The sequence below is a fragment of the Homo sapiens genome, chromosome 6 (genome assembly GCF_000001405.40).
Source record: "Homo sapiens chromosome 6, GRCh38.p14 Primary Assembly".
Lineage (NCBI taxonomy): Eukaryota > Metazoa > Chordata > Mammalia > Primates > Hominidae > Homo > Homo sapiens.
This window is the reverse complement of record NC_000006.12, coordinates 169,887,975-169,906,813: the sequence shown is the minus strand read 5'-3', so window position 1 is coordinate 169,906,813 and position 18,839 is coordinate 169,887,975. Positions and strand designations below refer to the sequence as shown.

Here is an 18,839-nt window from a genome sequence, read left to right as displayed (position 1 = left end):
GGTGCATTTGAAGGTGCAGGCTCTAGAGCCACCTTGGAGCAGGGCTTGGAAACAACACCAAAGCCTCTCTGTGGAGGGTGGGGAATGCAGCGGGCCAGGCCCCCACATGCTGTCCCAGAGGACTTCTTCCTAATAACTCCTGACTCCCGGCTTGGGGTGTCTGCTGTGCAGCTTTTCCACCCAGAAACGCATCTGCCAACACCGAGGCCACAGCCTGGCCCTTGCCTGTCTTCTTCCTGACCCCAGGTCAATCAGCTGGACAGAGCCGCTGCAGAGCATTCAAATTCATCACTGAGGGACTAGGAGTCATTGGTGCGGAAGTCAGAGTCTGTTAGCCCTGTTGACAACATCCTCAGGATAGAAGGTGCAGGGGGCAAAACCGTGGTGTGGTGTGTGCATTGTGTGCACCCATCTGTGCCTTCCCTGCCACCGTCAGCTCCACCGTGGTGTGGTGTGTGCGTCGTGTGCGCCCATCTGTGCCTTCCCTGCCACCGTCAGCTCCACCGTGGTGTGGTGTGTGCATTGTGTGCGCCCATCTGTGCCTTCCCTGCCACCGTCAGCTCCACCGTGGTGTGGTGTGTGCATTGTGTGCGCTCATCTGTGCCTTCTCTGTGGTGTGTGCGTCGTGCGCATGTTGGCTTCTCTGGCTGGAGGTTCCTCTCCAGGATGGCGCGAGCAGTGTGTGCTCACCATGGCTTTTCCAACACCTAGGAGAGCTCCCGGAACCTGAATGGGGATGAAAAGTGAGTCTTGGAGCAAGGAAAAAAGTGTGTCCCCCATGAGAGAAACAGCGGCAAGCAGCATCAGAGCACGGCTCCCTTCCCTTCTCTCCTTCTGCTCTTTAGATTTCAAAGGAATTGGCCCCATGGGGTGTGGGAGAAAATGAACCTCTTTTACCATGGAAGTTGCCTAAAGTACTCTGCCTGATTTTCAAAGCTAACCATTCTGTCAACAACTAGAACAAGGCCAGGAGGTGGGACAGAGCCTCACATCCCCCAAATTGAAAAGAAGAAGAGCTTCAACAGAGTGACCAGCACAGACCCCCATGCCGTGGGCTTCCCGGGCAGCTGAGTGACCAGTGCAGACCCCACACCCCGGGTTTCCAGGGCAACTGAGTGACCAGCACAGACCCTCACATCCTGGGCTTCCCGGGCACATGAGTGACCAGCGCAGACACTCACACCCTGGGTTCCCAGGAAGCTGAGTGACCAGCACAGACCCCCACATCCTGGGCTTCCCGGGCACATGAGTGACCAGCACAGACCCGATGCCAGGGGCTTACCAGCCAGGCTGCCAGAACCCACCATCTGCCATCAGCTGCACACACAAACCTTTTCCACTGGCAATATTTCAAGGCCTTCTTTTTCTTTCCTCAGCACGGAAACCATCAGGAAAATGTTCTGAGTCATGGGGTGATGACCTCAAAGTGTGTTTGTCTCGGTTTGCAGCCTGTTTGGGTGAGCACCAAGATAAACTGCAAATTGGCTAAAGCTGCTAATAAGCAGGCACTCTGCCGTCATCACTGTAAGGATGAGGTGTGTTCAGAATCCGCGGCCCCCGTGCCCCACACTCCTTCAGCAGGTCACCGACTGAACTAGCTCCATACACAGGTCCTGCGGCTTCTGGTGAGCGGCACTGCCCTGGATGCTGGTTTAGGGCACGCCCGGCATGTGCCAGGCAACCTTTTGAGGCCTGTCCACTAACAACCCTGGCAGTCAGGTGTGGTCTCACGGTCCCGTTTTGCAGATGAAGACACTGAGGCCCAGAAAGCACCACTTGTCCTCAGATCAGACACTTGGCAGGTGGCAGAGCCCACGTCAGACACAAACTCACCACCAGGCTGGCCCACTATAGCCAGGTCCCAGAGGAGGCTGCCCGCCCAGCACTGAAGCCCTCCCCTCACCAATTGCATGCTGGTGCTGGCCCTGCCCCTCCTGCAGCTCCAGCCCACTCTGACCATGCAGTGCATTCTAGACCTAATTGGAGTAGGGCCCAAGGCAACCCCACCGTCTGTAGTGTAGACATCTGAGGTCCTTGTTTTAATCCCCAGGAAGAGGTGCACTGAGGAGGAGGAGGAGTAACCTTCGTCATTTTATTTCCCGCTATTGCCAAGCGCGGCCTGGAGACAGTTGCCACGGGGGACGGGGAGGGCCGCCTGCCTGGTGCCCCTGCAGGAGGAGGTGGGCGCAGGCCTGTATTTTAAGCAACGGTGTAGTGGGGCTCCTTGTTACAGCAGCCTCCCTTCACCCTGACTAATAAATGGAACTGGAATTCAAAACAGGGAACTTGTTCATTAAATTCCTGTTAAGAAATTCAGTATAACAAACTCACGATTATCCTGAACCCAAAAGGCCCCAGGGCCTGAGTCATCAGATTTCTCTCCTGTGTGGAATCAAGGCTTGCTTTGATGGACGGCCGAGCGCTCACGAGAACCATTTGTGTCTTATTCCTGGGGCTGGAACATGGCAGTGTCCATGACCATGTTTGAGGCAGCCTTTTCTATTTGCACTAATTTCCTGTTGCTGAATAACAAATTTCCATGAGCACAGGCGCTGAGAGTAGCACCAACCCTCAGCTCAGTTTCCACAGGTCAGTGGCCTGGGCATGTTGCAACTTCACTTTCGGGTCTTAGCAGGCTGAATTCATGGCACCGGCCAGGGCTGTGAGACTTCTATGGGCTGAGGGCCACTTTTCAGCTCCCAATTGCTGGGGGAATTTTCTTCTGGAAGTTGCAGGACAGAGGTCTCTATGCTCCTTCCTACTCTTAGCTCCTGGAGGCCGCCTGCCTGCAGGTGGAGAAAATCGTTTTTAGAGGGTCCGTGTGATTAGGCCGGGTCCCCCAATTATCTCCCTACCGTAAGGTCAACTGCTTTGGGATCTTAACCCCATAACAAGCCCTCCCAGCCGCCCTGGAATCCTGGTGAACAGCTGGGAGGAAGTGTGTGCACACCAGGGCGGCAGTCATGGGCCATCTCAGAATTCCTCCAGCTGCTCCACTCAAGAAACACTTCCATTCACAAGTTAACACTCCACAGTGCCCCCCAGTAATGTTCTGAAGGAATTATCAACCCCCCCAGGAAAACAGACTCAAAAGAGATGTGGTGTACGAAGGCTGCCCCGCAAAGAGAAGGGTTCAGGGCTGGCAGAACCTCCCCCTGCCCCTCACTCCATGGCCACACTGATGTGGCTTCAGCTTAGGCCATTTTCTCTCTTCATTGATTCAATTACTCATCTATTCAATGATTATTTATTGAGCCCACGACATGCCAGGCACCGCTCCAGGGACTACGGGAACTGCAGTTTAAAAGACGTAAGTCCTCACTGTCATGGGGACCTCTGCGTGGGACACGGATGCCTGGATGAATGGGAGGCACTCACAGTGAAGCTAACGGGGCCCAGGGAAGGACCAAGCCTGAGGGAGTAGAAAGGGGTCAGGAGGTGCAGCGTCGCTAACCAGACAGAGGCCACTGATGCTTCAACATCCGCCCCCACCCGACGATCACAGCATGTCCGGAATACGGTGGCGCAGTCGGAGTTCACAGCTTGCCCGCTACGTGCCGGGCCTCAGGCTAAGGGCTTATTACATTACTTCTGTTCATCCTTTGAGATGCCTCCTACCTTTGTACCACATTACAGACTGGAAGAACAACTCAGAGCCTGAGCGCCTTGGGAAACCCACGTGGGGAGAGCTGCCACGACCACACGGGTTCAGCTTCAGACCTGACATCTCCTCCTGGCTCCTACCAGAGCCTGGAGTCATCAAAGATTCAAAGGTGCTGAGTAAAACCATGCCCTTGTTTTGGAACATGTCCACCCAGGGCTTCTATATAAAATGCTTATCGAGCCAGGATATGTATGTGACTAAAACCTTCTAGTCTGTGTTTCTACAATGCCTTAAGTGGATGAAGTAAGGCCCCTAACAAAGTGGCCCCAGAGCTGGGAACTACGGGTCCTGCACGGAGCTGGCTGCGGGGACCTCTGTGGCCAAGCATTGCAATGGGGCAGCGGCACAAAGGCCCTGGGGTGGGAGTGCGTTTGTGGTGTCCCGGCCGAAGAAAAGGCCAGTGTAGCTGTAGAAGGGGATGGGCAGCAAGGGCCACACCCTGAGGGCTTTGCAGGCCTCCTACTGGGTTGAATTTTACGCTATTTATTTATTTATAGAATCCGTGCCACCCCTCTTGCCTGGGAGATGAGGAACCCTGGGAAGCAGGCAAGCCAGGCCTACTGTTTGGATGGATGGCAGCAAGTGGCCTCAGGGCGACTGGGGAAGGCCCAGAGGACCCGGTCTTGGTGCCTTGGGACCTGGGCATTTACCTCATTGTGTTGAAGCAACACTTAATACAGCCCCTGCAATATGTGAACCTCAGACCAGATGTTCCTTCCCCTGTTGGTGGGAGGCCCTACACCCTCACCTCCCCATCACCCCCATCATTACTGCCATTATCATCATCACTCCCATTATTACCACCATTCCCCATCATCACCCACCATCGCCTTCATCACTGTCACCCCCATCATCATCACCCCCATCATCATTGCCCACATCATCACTGTCACATCATCATCATCACCCCAACATCACTGTCTCCCCATCATCACCCCAACATCACTGTCACCCCATCATCATCATCACCCCAACATCACTGTCACCCCATCATCACCCCAATATCACTGTCACCCCCATCTTCATCACCTCCATCATTGCCCCATCATCGTCATCACCCCCAACATCACTGTTGCCCCCATCATCACCCCAATATCACTGTCTCCCCATCATCATCACCCCAACATCACTGTCACCCCATCATCACCCCAACATCAGTCACCCCATCATCATCATCACCCGATCATCATCATCACCCCAACATCACTGTCACCTCCATCATCATCATCACCCCAACATCACTGTCACCCCATCATCATCATCACCCCAACATCACTGTCACCCCATCATCACCCCAACATCAGTCACCCCATCATCATCATCACCCGATCATCATCATCACCCCAACATCACTGTCACCTCCATCATCATCATCACCCCAACATCACTGTCACCCCATCATCATCATCACACCAACATCACTGTCACCCCATCATCATCATCACCCCAACATCACTGTCACCCCATCATCATCATCACCCCAACATCACTGTCACCCCATCATCATCACACCAACATCACTGTCACCCCATCATCATCATCACCCCAACATCACTGTCACCCCATCATCATCATCACCCCAACATCACTGTCACCCTCATCATCACCCCAACATCAGTCACCCCATCATCATCATCGCCCGATCATCATTATCACCCCAACATCACTGTCACCCCATCATCATCATCACCCCAACATCACTGTCACCCCATCATCACCATCACCCCAACATCACTGTCACCCCATCATCACCGTCACCCCAACATCATCGTCACCCCAACATCACCGTCACCCCATCATCATCGTCACCCCAACATCACCGTCACCCCATCATCATCGTCACCCCAACATCACTGTCACCTCCATCATCATCACCCCAACATCACTGTCACCCCATCATCATCGTCACCCGATCATCATCATCACCCCAACATCACTGTCACCCCATCATCATCATCACCCCAACATCACTGTCACCTCCATCATCATCATCACCCCAACATCACTGTCACCTCCATCATCATCATCACCCCAGCATCACTGTCACCCCATCATCATCATCACACCAGCATCACTGTCACCCCATCATCATCATCACACCAGCATCACTGTCACCCCATCATCATCATCACACCAGCATCACTGTCACCCCATCATCATCATCACACCAACATCACTGTCACCCCATCATCATCATCACACCAACATCACTGTCACCCCATCATCATCATCACACCAACATCACTGTCACCCCATCATCATCATCACACCAACATCACTGTCACCCCATCATCATCATCACCCCAACATCACTGTCACCCCATCACCATCATCACCCCAACATCACTGTCACCCCATCACCATCATCACCCCAACATCACTGTCACCCCATCATCATCATCACCCCAACATCACTGTCACCTCCATCATCATCATCACCCCAACATCACTGTCACCCCATCATCATCATCACCCCAACATCACTGTCACCCCATCATCATCATCACCCCAACATCACTGTCACCCCATCATCATCATCACCCCAACATCACTGTCACCCCATCATCATCATCACCCCAACATCACTGTCACCCCATCATCATCATCACACCAACATCACTGTCACCCCATCATCATCATCACCCCAACATCACTGTCACCCCATCATCATCATCACACCAACATCACTGTCACCCCATCATCATCATCACACCAACATCACTGTCACCCCATCATCATCATCACACCAACATCACTGTCACCCCATCATCATCATCACCCCAACATCACTGTCACCCCATCATCATCACCCCAACATCACTGTCACCTCCATCATCATCATCACCCCAACATCACTGTCACCCCATCATCATCATCACCCGATCATCATCATCACCCCAACATCACTGTCACCCCATCATCATCATCACCCCAACATCACTGTCACCCCATCATCATCATCACCCCAACATCACTGTCACCCCATCATCATCATCACCCCAACATCACTGTCACCCCATCATCATCATCACCCTTAGCCCCCTTGCTTCCGCAGCCACGTTGCAGCAGGTCTTGTGTATCCTCACCGGGTGATGGGCGAGCCCTAAGGCGCCTGTGATCAGGGAGCCGGGACAGAGGCAGATGCACAGCGGGGCAGCGTCTGGGCCACCAGGGTCCCTGGGGAGGGCACTCCGACCCCAGGCGGTGCCCAGGAGGGGCGCCCAGGCCCTGGTCCTTTGATCTGTAGGATTTCACCACCCGAGGCCCAGGGAAGCGGGGAGGGGCTGCAACCGTAATTCTTCAGAGGTCTTAGAGGTTGTTTGGGTCAAGATTGTCCCAGGACCCTGCCTGGCCACCCTGGGAGCCTGAAGGAAGGGCAGGACCCAAGAGTCTGCGTTTTCGCCAAACCCCCAGACGGGGAGGGGGTTCCATCCGCAAACTGAGCATCAAGTCCCCAGGGTCCATCTGCAAGTTGAGCAAGGCTTTAGGAAGGTGTCAGGACAGGAGAGTCAAAAAACGTGATCTTCCCTGAGGTCAGAAAAGTGTTCTCATGACCGGAAATAAAACGAAAACCCCCCTCTCAATTTGAAGTGAAATCCCTCTCTCTCTCAGCCTGCAGCCCGGGCCGTGGCTCACCCTGGGGCAGAGGCCGGACCTGAGCATTTCCAGGAGAGCGGACGCCCTCATCCCCCACTCATGGAGCAGCCTTTGAGATAACCCCAGCTTCCACGGAGCCTGTTTTCTTAGTGATAACTAGGAAAGAAAGCAGGTCAATGAGGCACTTCCCCCCATTGTTAGCCCTTCTATCGCTGCCTGAAAAACCGGCGCTGCCCTCCCCACAGGGCCTCAGCAGAGCGATGTGCAGCAGGAAACTTCAGCTTCCAGAAGGTGCCTCCAGCAGGTGAGCCCCGGGCTGGGGGCCAGGCCTAACAGATAGCCGGACTCCCGGGCCTGCTCAGGAGAGGGTCAGACCCATGCACAGACAGCATCACCGCCTTCCTCAGAGGAAGGAGAGGCTGGAGCGGATCCTCACGGCGGGGCGCTCAGCAGGGGGCGGGGCGGGGCGGGGCGCTGCGTGGCGTCACCTGCCGGCGCCCCACGCTGGCCTGAGCTCCCTCGCCTGAAAATGAAAATGGCGGCCTCCTCCGCATCCGCCTGGCAGGGCAGCTTCTTCTCCCTGAAGAAGCTCATTCCGTGTCTGGAGCTTGCTGCCAGCTGGAACGTTCCTGTGGTTTCTACCTCTAGATCTTGGCTCATCGATTGGGATCGTACAGAAACTAGAGTTCCTCTCCCACATGACAGACTCTGAAACACAGCGAATCCCCAGGATGTGGGCGACTGTCACGGATAAGCATTCACTGGGTATCGGCTCTGTGGGGGAAACTAGAAGTTTCAAGAATGAGTAAGAAACCCTCTCAGGGAAGGAGAGTATGTGGCTTCACACAGACTATGGATGGGTAGACAGAGAGATGACAATAATGATGACAGACGCACGGTAGATAAACAGACAAATGATAGATACATGGAACGATGACAGACAAGTCATGGAGATATGATAGATAATGATGATAGATGACACTGATGAAGGACAAATATAAAGTTGAAAGGGCTGCGGCAGGGCCTATGTGAGGTCCTATGATGACCCCTGGGAAGAGCACTCTGCTCAGTCCAGGAGCTCAAGGAAAACCTAATGGAGAAGATGAGACCTGAGCTAAGCACCTTGGCCTGGTCTCGAAACAAAAAACAATAACAACAAAACACCCTTGTTCTTTCACGAAACAGAATTCTCAACAACCTGGCCCTCTTCCTATTCATTCATTCATTTCTGAGCTTAATACCCAGAACTCCTTACCACCTGCTGAGTGCTACGAGCCAGGTGTCTGTGCAGGGCCGAGGGCAAGACAGACCCCAATGGTGCCCACAGGTACTGCCCGTCTGCGGATGGCACAGGCAACCCAAGGCCACAGTGGGGCGCGATAACTCAGTGGTGAGGGGCAGCACAGGCCCAGGCATTCACAGGGAGCGACACACACCCAAAACCGGGGGCCAAACCGGGGTCCCTGGAGAAAGTGGTTTCTTAGCACAAACTAAATGATGAGAAGTCAGTGAGAAGGGTCATCCAGACCAAGATGAGGGGCCAGAAAAGGGCATGTGGAGTTGAGCAGATAAAGGAGGCTCAGCATGGCCAGAGTGCAGAGGCCAGGAAGCCCACCCAGGGTGAGCTGGACGGGCGGGAGGGAGACCATGGGAGCCAGTCAGGGGTCAGCTGGATGGACAGGAAGGAGAACCATGTGGGACCAGTAAGCATGGGCAGAGAGACCATGGGGACCAGTCAAAGGTGAGCTGGATGGGTGGGAGGGAGACCATGGGAACCAGTCAAGGGTCAGCTGGACGGATGGAAGGAGAACCACGGGGGACAAGTAAGCATGGACAGGGAGACCACAGGGACCAGTCAACGGTGAGCTGGACGGCTGAGAGGGAGGCCATTGCTGCAAATGGGCTGAATTTATCTTAACAACAATGGTTATCTGTGGAAGAGATCAAGTAAGGGAGTGACATGATCAGACTCTTGTTTGGGGGACTCACTGTTGCTACAGAGTAGAAAGTGCATGTCACTAGGACAGGCCTGAAGGGAGAGGAGACAGCTCCCACAATTATCCAGGCCAGAGAGGAGAGGGCCTGCAGGACGTGGAGAGGATCTGTGTCATGGAATTCGCAGGGTTCTGCTTGGATACATTGAGTCACTGTGACCTGTAGACCCTTGAACGTGTCCTGGAGTCCTGTGTCGAGAACTGGCGAAGGAAACACATCGAGAGTCATGGACATGAGATGACCACGAGGTGGAGGGAAGCCCTGGAGGGAAACCCACAGGGAGAGGCAGGGAGGCCCTGGGCTGCCCAGGTGGGTGGAAAGGCTCAAGGAAGCCCACAGACTCCCCTTGCAGTGGAATGCCCCAGTGAGGGCCCAGCTGCAACGCCGCCTGGGAGAACAAGAGGACAGGGTGACGCAGGGAAGAAGCTGCCCACCAAGACCATGGGGCTCTCCCGATGGAGGCGTCCAGCCCCCACCCCCTTTGATGGTGGCATTCGAAGTCAGTGCTGCCAACAGAGACACCACAGAAGTGGGAAAGTGGAATGCGTGGAGGCCCGTTTGTGTGGCAGCATCATGGGTGTAGCCCCGAGGATGGCTCTAGGAGACCCACAGGCCAACACAATCCCTGCAGCGGCCCCTCTCCCCAGGCCACAGGGCCTCCGCATCTGAACACCTGTGTGGCTGGTTCCCCTCTCAGGGAAGGCTCTTTGAAATATCTGAGGTGGCCTCTGCCTTCTTGATGGTTACAGGGAGGGAGGAGGTTATTTGGAAGATGGTGACCACAATCTCAAGAGCCACAGAGGTCAAAAGCCTGGAAAGCAGCCATTGGGCTGGGCAACCAGAAGGTGTGGGTAGCGTCAGCCAGGGTAGGCCGGGGTGGGTGTGGGAGCCGGGCTGCTGCGTCCAGGACACAGCGGAACTGCGGTGGCTCTATCAAGAGATTGGTTTTGTTTCTGTGGAGGGAGAGAGATGGGGCTTCTCTCAGGAGCATGTCCCGCCAGCCCTGGCCTCTCTGAGCGCCGCCTCTCTTGGGCTGCTGCCCCCTTTCAGTGCCAGGGGCAGGGCTGAGTCCAGCCCCAGGCACAAGTCATTGGCCTAGTCAGGGCAGGGCATGAGCTGTGTTGGTGCCAGCCATAGAGCCAGGATCTGTTTCCTCTGAGAAGCAGAAACCGAACCCCATGGCCTAGGCTCCTGGTGGCTCAGGTGCGGTGACCCCAGAAGCTGACATTTCAGTGGGCGAGATCTGTGCCCTGGGTCACCCAAGCTTCTGCACGTGGCCAGGACCTCCTGGGCCTCCTCTGTGCCCATCAGTTCCCACCCTCTATGGGGGCTCCTTGGTGAATTTTCAGGCAAAATCAACCCTTCGGTTCTGAGCTCCACTAGCCACTTGCCAAGGGGCCCAGGGGACAGCACCCTTCTCCATCCCCTCTCCTCCACACGCGTTTCTGTAAGAGGCCCTGGGCTGGGGCTGGTGTTGCAGGAGTGTGAGTGTCTCTGACAGGACTCAGAGTCACCTCATGTCTCCGCATGACAGAGGAGCCAGGCTGGTTTCAGAGGTGAACAATCATTGGATTAGTGCAGCCCCATTTCAAAAGTGTTCATTTAGCTGATTTCCGTAACCCGAAAAGACTTTTCAACTCATGACAACCTCGGAACATGGCCTTCGTTCGTCCCCTGGCCCTGCCAGCGAGAGGGGAAAGTGTGTGGTGAGCAAAGTTGAAATGACCAGCGGAGATGAAATGTACCATCCTGCTGATCATCCCTACCCTGGGTTTCTCCGCAATTGGTTTTTTTGTTTGTTTTTAATTTAGTCACCCGCCTCTGGGCTGTGGAGAGGCCTGTCCACCCTGCATGGCTAATGTTATGCACCCAATTGGCTGGGCCACAGTGCCAGTGTTTGGCCAGACAGGTTGCTGTGAAGGTGTTTTTAGATTAGATCAGTATTTAAATCAGTTGATTTTGAGTAAAGCAGATGACCCTCCGAAGTATGGGTGGGCCTTGTCCAATCAGGTGAAGGACTACAAGAAAAGACTGAGGTTCCTGGAGGAAGAAGGACTTCGGCCTTCAGAGGCCTTTAGACTCCAGCTGCAGTGTTGCCTCTTCCTGGGTCTCCAGCCTGCCGGGCCGCCCTGTAGAATTCAAACATGCCAGCCCTGACAATCACAGGAGACACTTCCTTAAAATGTTTCTTTCTTTCTCTCTCTCTCTCTGCCTCTCTCTCTTTCTCTTTCTCTCACACATACACACACACACACACACACACACACATACACCCTGTTGGTTCTGTTTTTCTGGAGAGCCCTAATTTGATTCTCTTCAAGCCTTTTTTTTTTCTCTAAGCCACCTGTTCTCAACCCTTCGAGCCTCCATCATGAGAAAGGGTTGCATTTCCTCATTCTGTCTTCTGAGCATGCTCCTGTGGTCCAGGCATCATCATCCTGTATCTTTTATTTATGATTGTGTCTTGGGACCTACGACATTGCCCAGCACATAGCAGATGATCAGAAACCATGGTTTGAATACCCTGAATTAATGCAGAAGTGAGTTAGCAGGCATCTCTGTGCCGGCAGTATTTTAGGTGTGGGGGACCCTTTGGTGAACGAGGACAACACAGTCCCATCCCCAAGAAACTGACGATGTCCTTGAACACAGCAGGCCCCAACCTTTTTGGCTCCAGGGACTGGTTTCTTGGAAGACGATTTTTCATGCACGGTGGGCGGGGGAAATGATTTCGGGATGAAACTGCTACCTCAGATCATCAGACTTTGATTCCCATAAGGAGCCCGCAGCCTAAATCCCTGGCATGTGCCATGCACAGTAGGGTTCACACTCCTCTGAGAATCGAATGCTGCCTCTGATCTAACAGGAGTAGGGGCTCAGGTGGGAACGCTCGCTCGCCCACCACTCACCTCCTGCTGCGCAGCCCGGACCCTAACAGGCCATGGATGGTACCGGCCTGTCCCCGGGAGCTGGGGGTCCCTGTTCTAACACATATCAGCCAAAGCTGAGCACAGCACTCCAGGTTTCGCCTGAGTGAAGTGTGGAGTGGCCGGTCACTACCTTTCTTCAGGATTCTGTGCATTTACTGATGTGACCCAAGCTTTAAGAGGGATGCAGGGTCCCGGAACCGCATGCAAGATTGGAAGGTGGACCCGGCTGCCTTTCCGAAGGCACCTCCCAGGGGCGTTCTCGTCCACTCCACACAGTTTCATTACAGGGCATAAAACGGCACCACAGCATGAATCCCCAAAGCAGTGGAGATGAAAGGAGCTCATTGAAACAACTTCTGTATCTTTTCCTACCAAAATACAGGCTTATGACACAATAAAAAAATAAAATTAGGAGCTTCAGATCCCATGAGACATTGTTCCACCCCATTTCCCACAAAGCCATAGATGCTGCCGGTGGCCACTAGACACAGAGCAGGGCCAACGCTGGCCAAGGGATGCAGGGATGTGTCTAGGGGTCCCCACACTGCCCTGCAGGGTCAGGAGACCTGAACGTCTTCCGTCCAGGATCCATATACAGAAGAGAGCATTTGCAAATGCATGTGGTGTGGAGAGAGATCCCCAAGCTGCTCAGAACCATCCTAATTCTCTTCCTCCATGGAAACTAAGTCCAGGGCATGGAGGCCTCCATGCCACAGAAGGTGGCCCTGTCAGAACCGGCAGTCTCACCTGGCCGTCAGATGGCTCGTTCCTGTAAACTCAGTGCCCTCCAGACCAAGGCCCCTTTCTGTGAGTCTGAAACTACGTGGATACAGCACTCGGCTTCCCAGACACGGTGAGGAGCCCAGCCCTGGGCCACAGATAGACAGCACCCACAACAGGAGGGGCCCAGCAGTTCAGGAAGGAGGCATTTCCGGCCAAGGATACAATCCATGCATGGCTCCAGCCTCCACGAAGCCATCTTGAGGCTTCTGAGTTGCTGTTTAAAAGGACGGGGAATGATGTTCAGAATTAAAGGGTGGAAAGAGCCCAGCAGACATGGAGGGGTAATCCCTTCCCTGAAGAAAGAGGAAATGAGCCGTAGGGAGCTGAGAGTGTGCATCCCAGGCCACACAAGCAACGTAAACAAAGAAGCCAAGTCCCTCAGAAGGACACTGAGCCACTGATTCCCCAAAAAACAAAGGCACTAAAAGAGAGTGGAAGCTGCAAGCAACCCAGGCCACAGGCAGGAGCTCAGGAAAGTTCCTAATTAAAGAAACTGCTAACTAGGAGTAAAATATGCAAGATTATACCAAAAGAATTGCACACCCTCACAAAGGAGCTCATGGTGAAAGAGACCCTCTCTGTGGGGCTCACAGTGAGGGAGACCCTGTCCACGAGGCTCACAGTGATGGAGACCCTGTCTACAAGGCTCACAGTGATGAAGACCTTCTCCACGAGGCTCACAGCGATGGAGACCCTATCCACGAGGCTCGCAGTGATGGAGACCCTGTCCACGAGGCTCACAGTGATGGAGACCCTGTCCACGAGGCTCACAGTGATGGAGACCCTCTCCAGGAGGCTCACAGTGATGGAGACCTTCTCCACAAGGCTCACAGTGATGGAGACCCTCTCCAGGAGGCTCACAGTGATGAAGACCTTCTCCACGAGGCTCACAGTGATGGAGACCCTCTCCAGGAGGCTCACAGTGATGAAGACCTTCTCCACGAGGCTCACAGTGATGGAGACCCTGTCCACAAGGCTCACAGTGATGGAGACCCTCTCCAGGAGGCTCACAGTGATGAAGACCTTCTCCACAAGGCTCACAGTGATGGAGACCCTGTCCACAAGGCTCACAGTGATGGAGATCCTCTCCAGGAGGATCACAGTGAGAGAGACCTTCTCCACAAGGCTCACAGTGATGGAGAACCTGTCTAAAAGGCTGACAGTGATGGAGACCTTCTCCACGACGCTCACAGTGATGGAGAACCTGTCTACAAGGCTGACAGTGATGGAGACCCTCTCCACCAGGCTCACAGTGATGGAGACCCTGTCTACAAGGCTCATAGTGATGGAGACCCTCTCCAGGAGGATCATAGTGAGGGAGACCTTCTCCACGAGGCTCACAGTGATGGAGAACCTGTCTACGAGGCTGACAGTGACAGTGATGGAGACCCTGTCCACGAGGCTCACAGTGATGGAGACCCTGTCCACGAGGCTCACAGTGATGGAGACCCTCTCCACGAGGTTCACAGTGATGGAGACACTCTCCAGGAGGCTCACAGTGATGGAGACCTTCTCCACGAGGCTCACAGTGATGGAGACCCTCTCCAGGAGGCTCACAGTGATGGAGACCTTCTCCACGAGGCTCAAAGTGATGGAGACCCTCTCCACGAGGCTCACAGTGATGGAGACCCTGTCCACGAGGCTCACAGTGATGGAGTCCCTGTCCACAAGGCTCACAGTGATGGAGAGCCTGTCCACAAGGCTCACAGTGATGGAGACCTTCTCCACAAGGCTCACGGTGATGGAGACCCTGTCCACAATGCTCACGGTGATGGAGACCCTCTCCACAAGGCTCACGGTGATGGAGACCCTGTCCACGAGGTTCGCAGTGATGGGAAACCTCTCCAGGAGGATCACAGTGATGAAGTCCTTCTCTATGAGGCTCGCAGTGATGGAGACCTTCTCCACAAGGCTCACGGTGATGGAGACCCTGTCCACGAGGCTCACAGTGATGGAAATCCTCTCCACGAGGCTCACAGTGATGGAGACCTTCTCCATGAGGCTCACAGTGATGGAGACCTTCTCCATGAGGCTCACAGTGATGAAAACCTTTTAAATGAGGTTCACAGTGATGGAGACCCTGTCCACGAGGCTCACAGTGATGGAGATCCTCTCCACGAGGCTCACAGTGATGGAAACCTTCTCCATGAGGCTCACAGTGATGAAGACCTTCTCCATGAGTTTCACAGTGATGGAGACCCTGTTCACGAGGCTCACGGTGATGGAGACCCTGTCCACGAGGCTCACGGTGATGGAGACCCTGTCCATGAGGCTTACGGTGATGGAGACCCTCTCCACGAGGCTCACAGTGATGGAGACCCTCTCCAGGAGATTCACAGTGATGGAGACCTTCTCCAGGGGGCTCACAGTGATGGAGACCCTCTCCATGAGGCTCACAGTGATGGAGACCCTCTCCAGGAGGCTCACAGTGATGGAGACCTTCTCCAGGGGGCTCACAGTGATCGACACCCTCTCCACGAGGCTCACAGTGATGAAGACCCTGTCCATGAGTCTCACAATGATGGTGACCCTGTCCACAAGGCTCACAGTGATGGAGACCCACACTTTGATGTTCACAGTAAGAGACCCTCTCCACGAGACTCACAGTAAGAAAAACCCTTACCATGTCCCTCCTTTCATGACATTGCTCCATTTTTGTCCTCCATGCCCACCCTCCTTGTCCTTCATCTTTATCCCTAATCCACGTCCTCATCCAGTCCCTCCTCTAGGTTCCTCCTTCACATCCTCCCTTCCTCGTCCTCCCCTGCCCATCTCCTTCCTCCACGTCCTCCCCCGCACGTCTCCCCCTTGCATGGTCATCATTGGAGGTCACCCTTTCCAGATTTGCTCCTCCGTGCCCCAGGCTCACTAAAGCTTTGCACAGGAAGAATTTCTCTTATGGACCTTTTTGGGGAAGGGACAAGAGAAAGCAAAAAGAAGGGACTCTTCAACCCTAGGCATCCCCTGCAAACTTCTCTTCTGATCCCCTTTCTTCCATCAACATTTTGGAATTCTTACTGAGCTGCAGAGCAGGAATGATGTTCTCTCCTTCTTAGTCCTAAGAGATGAGCACATTTATTTCCCATGAATCCCAGGAATGTTGTGTGTGGTGTGCACCCCAGTCTTTCAGAAGGTGAATTCTGGACGGAGGACCTGGAAGAGGAAGGGACTCTGGAGGGTCTGACACAGGGCAGGGACGCCTAGACCCGGCCAGGTGTGAGCTCTCTGTCCAGGGCCTCAGTGACAACTGGCGTCAGGAATAAAAAGGACAATGTTCAGGGAAGGCCCTAGGAATGTGAACAGGACCCCCGATGGGCTGGCAGCACACTGGACAGGCCAGCAGGACATCAATGGGCCACGGGCCACTGTAACTCTGACTCTGGAAATGAGAAGTAGCCGAGAGGCCTGGGCATCAGCACTCAGCTCCCTCCTTCCCCTCCGCCCACCCCCCAACGCCCTCCTCCACCACACACCCTGGAAGCTGTGACCAGCAGGCCCAGCTGAGGTGGCCACTGAGGGTCGCTGGCCCGGCATACCCGACAGATGCTTTAATCTTCTGTTTGAAGAATGGCTTCTGCTCAGCTCCGCTCTTCAAACATCTGTTTCTCTTTAGAAAGATGGAGGCATTTCCAGTGGCGCTGCCTGTGCCATGCTGGGGACTGTTTAAACGGCACCCACGTTGTTTACATTGTCCTTTACAGCCAGAGAGGATTTACAGCAGGCGGCTGGACATGCGTCTAAGCTCTGTAAAACAGATCACTCACTTTGAAAAATGAACAGCTTAGCTTCCTAAACACATCCTTTTTGAAAGGAGGTATTTACTTTATTAACCCATAAAAAAAATCTAAGGAGGACGAAGCTCCTGGAGCTTTCAGGTTTCAGCACCTTAAAACCACCGAAAAGGAGCAGATTTCTGGCTTTATCACTTGGCCTTGACACCTCCCTGGATGCGCTGCTGCTTGGCTGGCTGGTGGCAGCAGCCCAGGATTCCTGTGCTCTAAACAACACACAAACACTCCACAGCAGAAGGCATCTGCATCCAGTGTCCTGGAAGATGGAGTAGTGGTAAAGACCTTTGAGAATCTTAAAGCAAGATGACAATCTGAGCTGCATCTGAGAAATGAACTCGTCCAGGAAGGACTGAGGGCAAACGGCAGGTGTGGCCAGGTTGTGATGTTTCCACCTTCGGGACAAAGCGACTCCTCCCTGCACCCCACACAGCATCTGAAAATCTCTTTGTTTATTGGGTTCATACATTTACTAAAATAAATGTTTCATTTGTCTTCATCTCCCCAAAGTGTGACACCTCCTGGGTGTGTGATAAGCGTTTGTTGAAATAATTCCTCATGACTTACCACACTCAGGTGAAATGGGAAAACCAGGAGGTGCTTACAGGTTATAAATAATCAGAGGTTATCAGGAAATGGGCTCCTTTGTTCTACATCCGTAAAACTAGACATTTAACCATGGTGAAAAGAAAAAGAAGTTTTCTTCTGCTGAGCGCATTCTGCCTATCCCCATAAAGACTTGAATGGCACTGACGATGCCTTGGGCCAGCGTTGAACACATACGCTCTTACAGAATCCCCCAAATCCTCTGTGTGGTGAGGTTACCTTCATCCTACAAGGGCTCAGAGCAGTGAAGGTGATGGCGTAAGGTCCCACGGCCAATCACAGACAGAGTAGAGATTTGAGTTCCCAGCCCATGCCTTGGGCCAGCGTTGAACACACACGCTCTTACAGAATCCCCCAAATCCTCTGTGTGGTGAGGTTACCTTCATCCTACAAGGCTCAGAGCAGTGAAGGTGACGGTGTAAGGTCCCACGGCCAATCACAGGCAGAGTAGAGATTTGAGTTCCCAGCCCATGCCTTGGGCCAGCGTTGAACACACACGCTCTTACAGAATCCCCCAAATCCTCTGTGTGGTGAGGTTACCTTCATCCTACAAGGGCTCAGAGCAGTGAAGGTGACGGCCTAAGGTCCCACGGCCAATCACAGACAGAGTAGAGATTTGAGTTCCCAGCCCGTGGCTGGTACCCACTGCACCCAGGTGCCTCTCACAGAGACCCCACCTCGTCTACCCTTCATCACCCTGGGAGGAGGACAAAAGCTGAGCCTCAGAGACATGAAAGATGTTATTTCCCAAGACCATACAACTGGCAATTGGAGGACACAGGACTCTACACATTGTCTTGATAAAAAAGTCTCACTTCACTTCTAATCAAACTCACCAGACTTAAAATATGTAATACAAATTTCTTTCTTTTTTTATTCTTTGTTTTTTTTGAGACCACAGAGTTTCACTCTATCGCCCAGGCTGGAGGGCAGTGGTGTGATCTCAGCTCACTGCAACCTCCGCCCCCCAGGTTCAAATGATTCTCCTGCCTCAGCCTCCCAAGTAGCTGGGGTTATAGGCATGCACCACCATGGCTGGCTAATTTTTGTATTTTTAGTAGAGACGGGGGTTTGCCATGTTGGCCAGGCTAGTCTTGAACTCCTGACCTCAAGTGATCCACCCACCTCAGCCTCCCAAAGTGCTAGGATTACAGGTGTGAGCCACTGCACCTGGCTTAGAAATTTCTACATCTGGAAATATAGTTCGGTTAAATTTTTTTTGGTTCTGAGAAGTAGCCCTCCTTTTCTTTTAAATTAGCCTTTCCCTTAAATTAGTAGATAATGGATCTTAACCATTCTACCAAATAAGCTCCATTTTTCCACTAATCAATACAGAAGGGCACAGAGGCAGGGGCACGGAGGTCTCAGATCTTTAAGGCCTTTGGTTGGTGACAAAGTAGGAATGCAGGACTCTGGGATTCTTAGGTCATGCTCCCAGGCAGCTGCCATTGTAGACAAGGGGCCCGGAATCCAAGT

General features: G+C 53.5%; 1 non-coding gene across 2 annotated transcripts in view; it reads right to left on the bottom strand.

Annotated features, from left to right (window-relative positions):
- Positions 1 to 2,078: 2,078 nt before the first annotated feature.
- The window catches only part of LOC105378149 (zinc finger protein 227-like), a 35,996-nt gene continuing 19,235 nt past the window's right edge, over positions 2,079 to 18,839 (bottom strand). The window contains exons 3-4 of one of the 2 annotated variants that reach the window (XR_007059895.1): positions 16,506 to 16,713; positions 2,079 to 2,786 (exon numbers count right to left, since the gene is read on the bottom strand). This is a non-coding gene — a transcript (zinc finger protein 227-like). Of the gene's footprint in view, positions 2,787 to 15,467; positions 16,714 to 18,839 lie in introns of those variants that run through there. The other variant, XR_001744480.1, reaches the window with a different exon arrangement.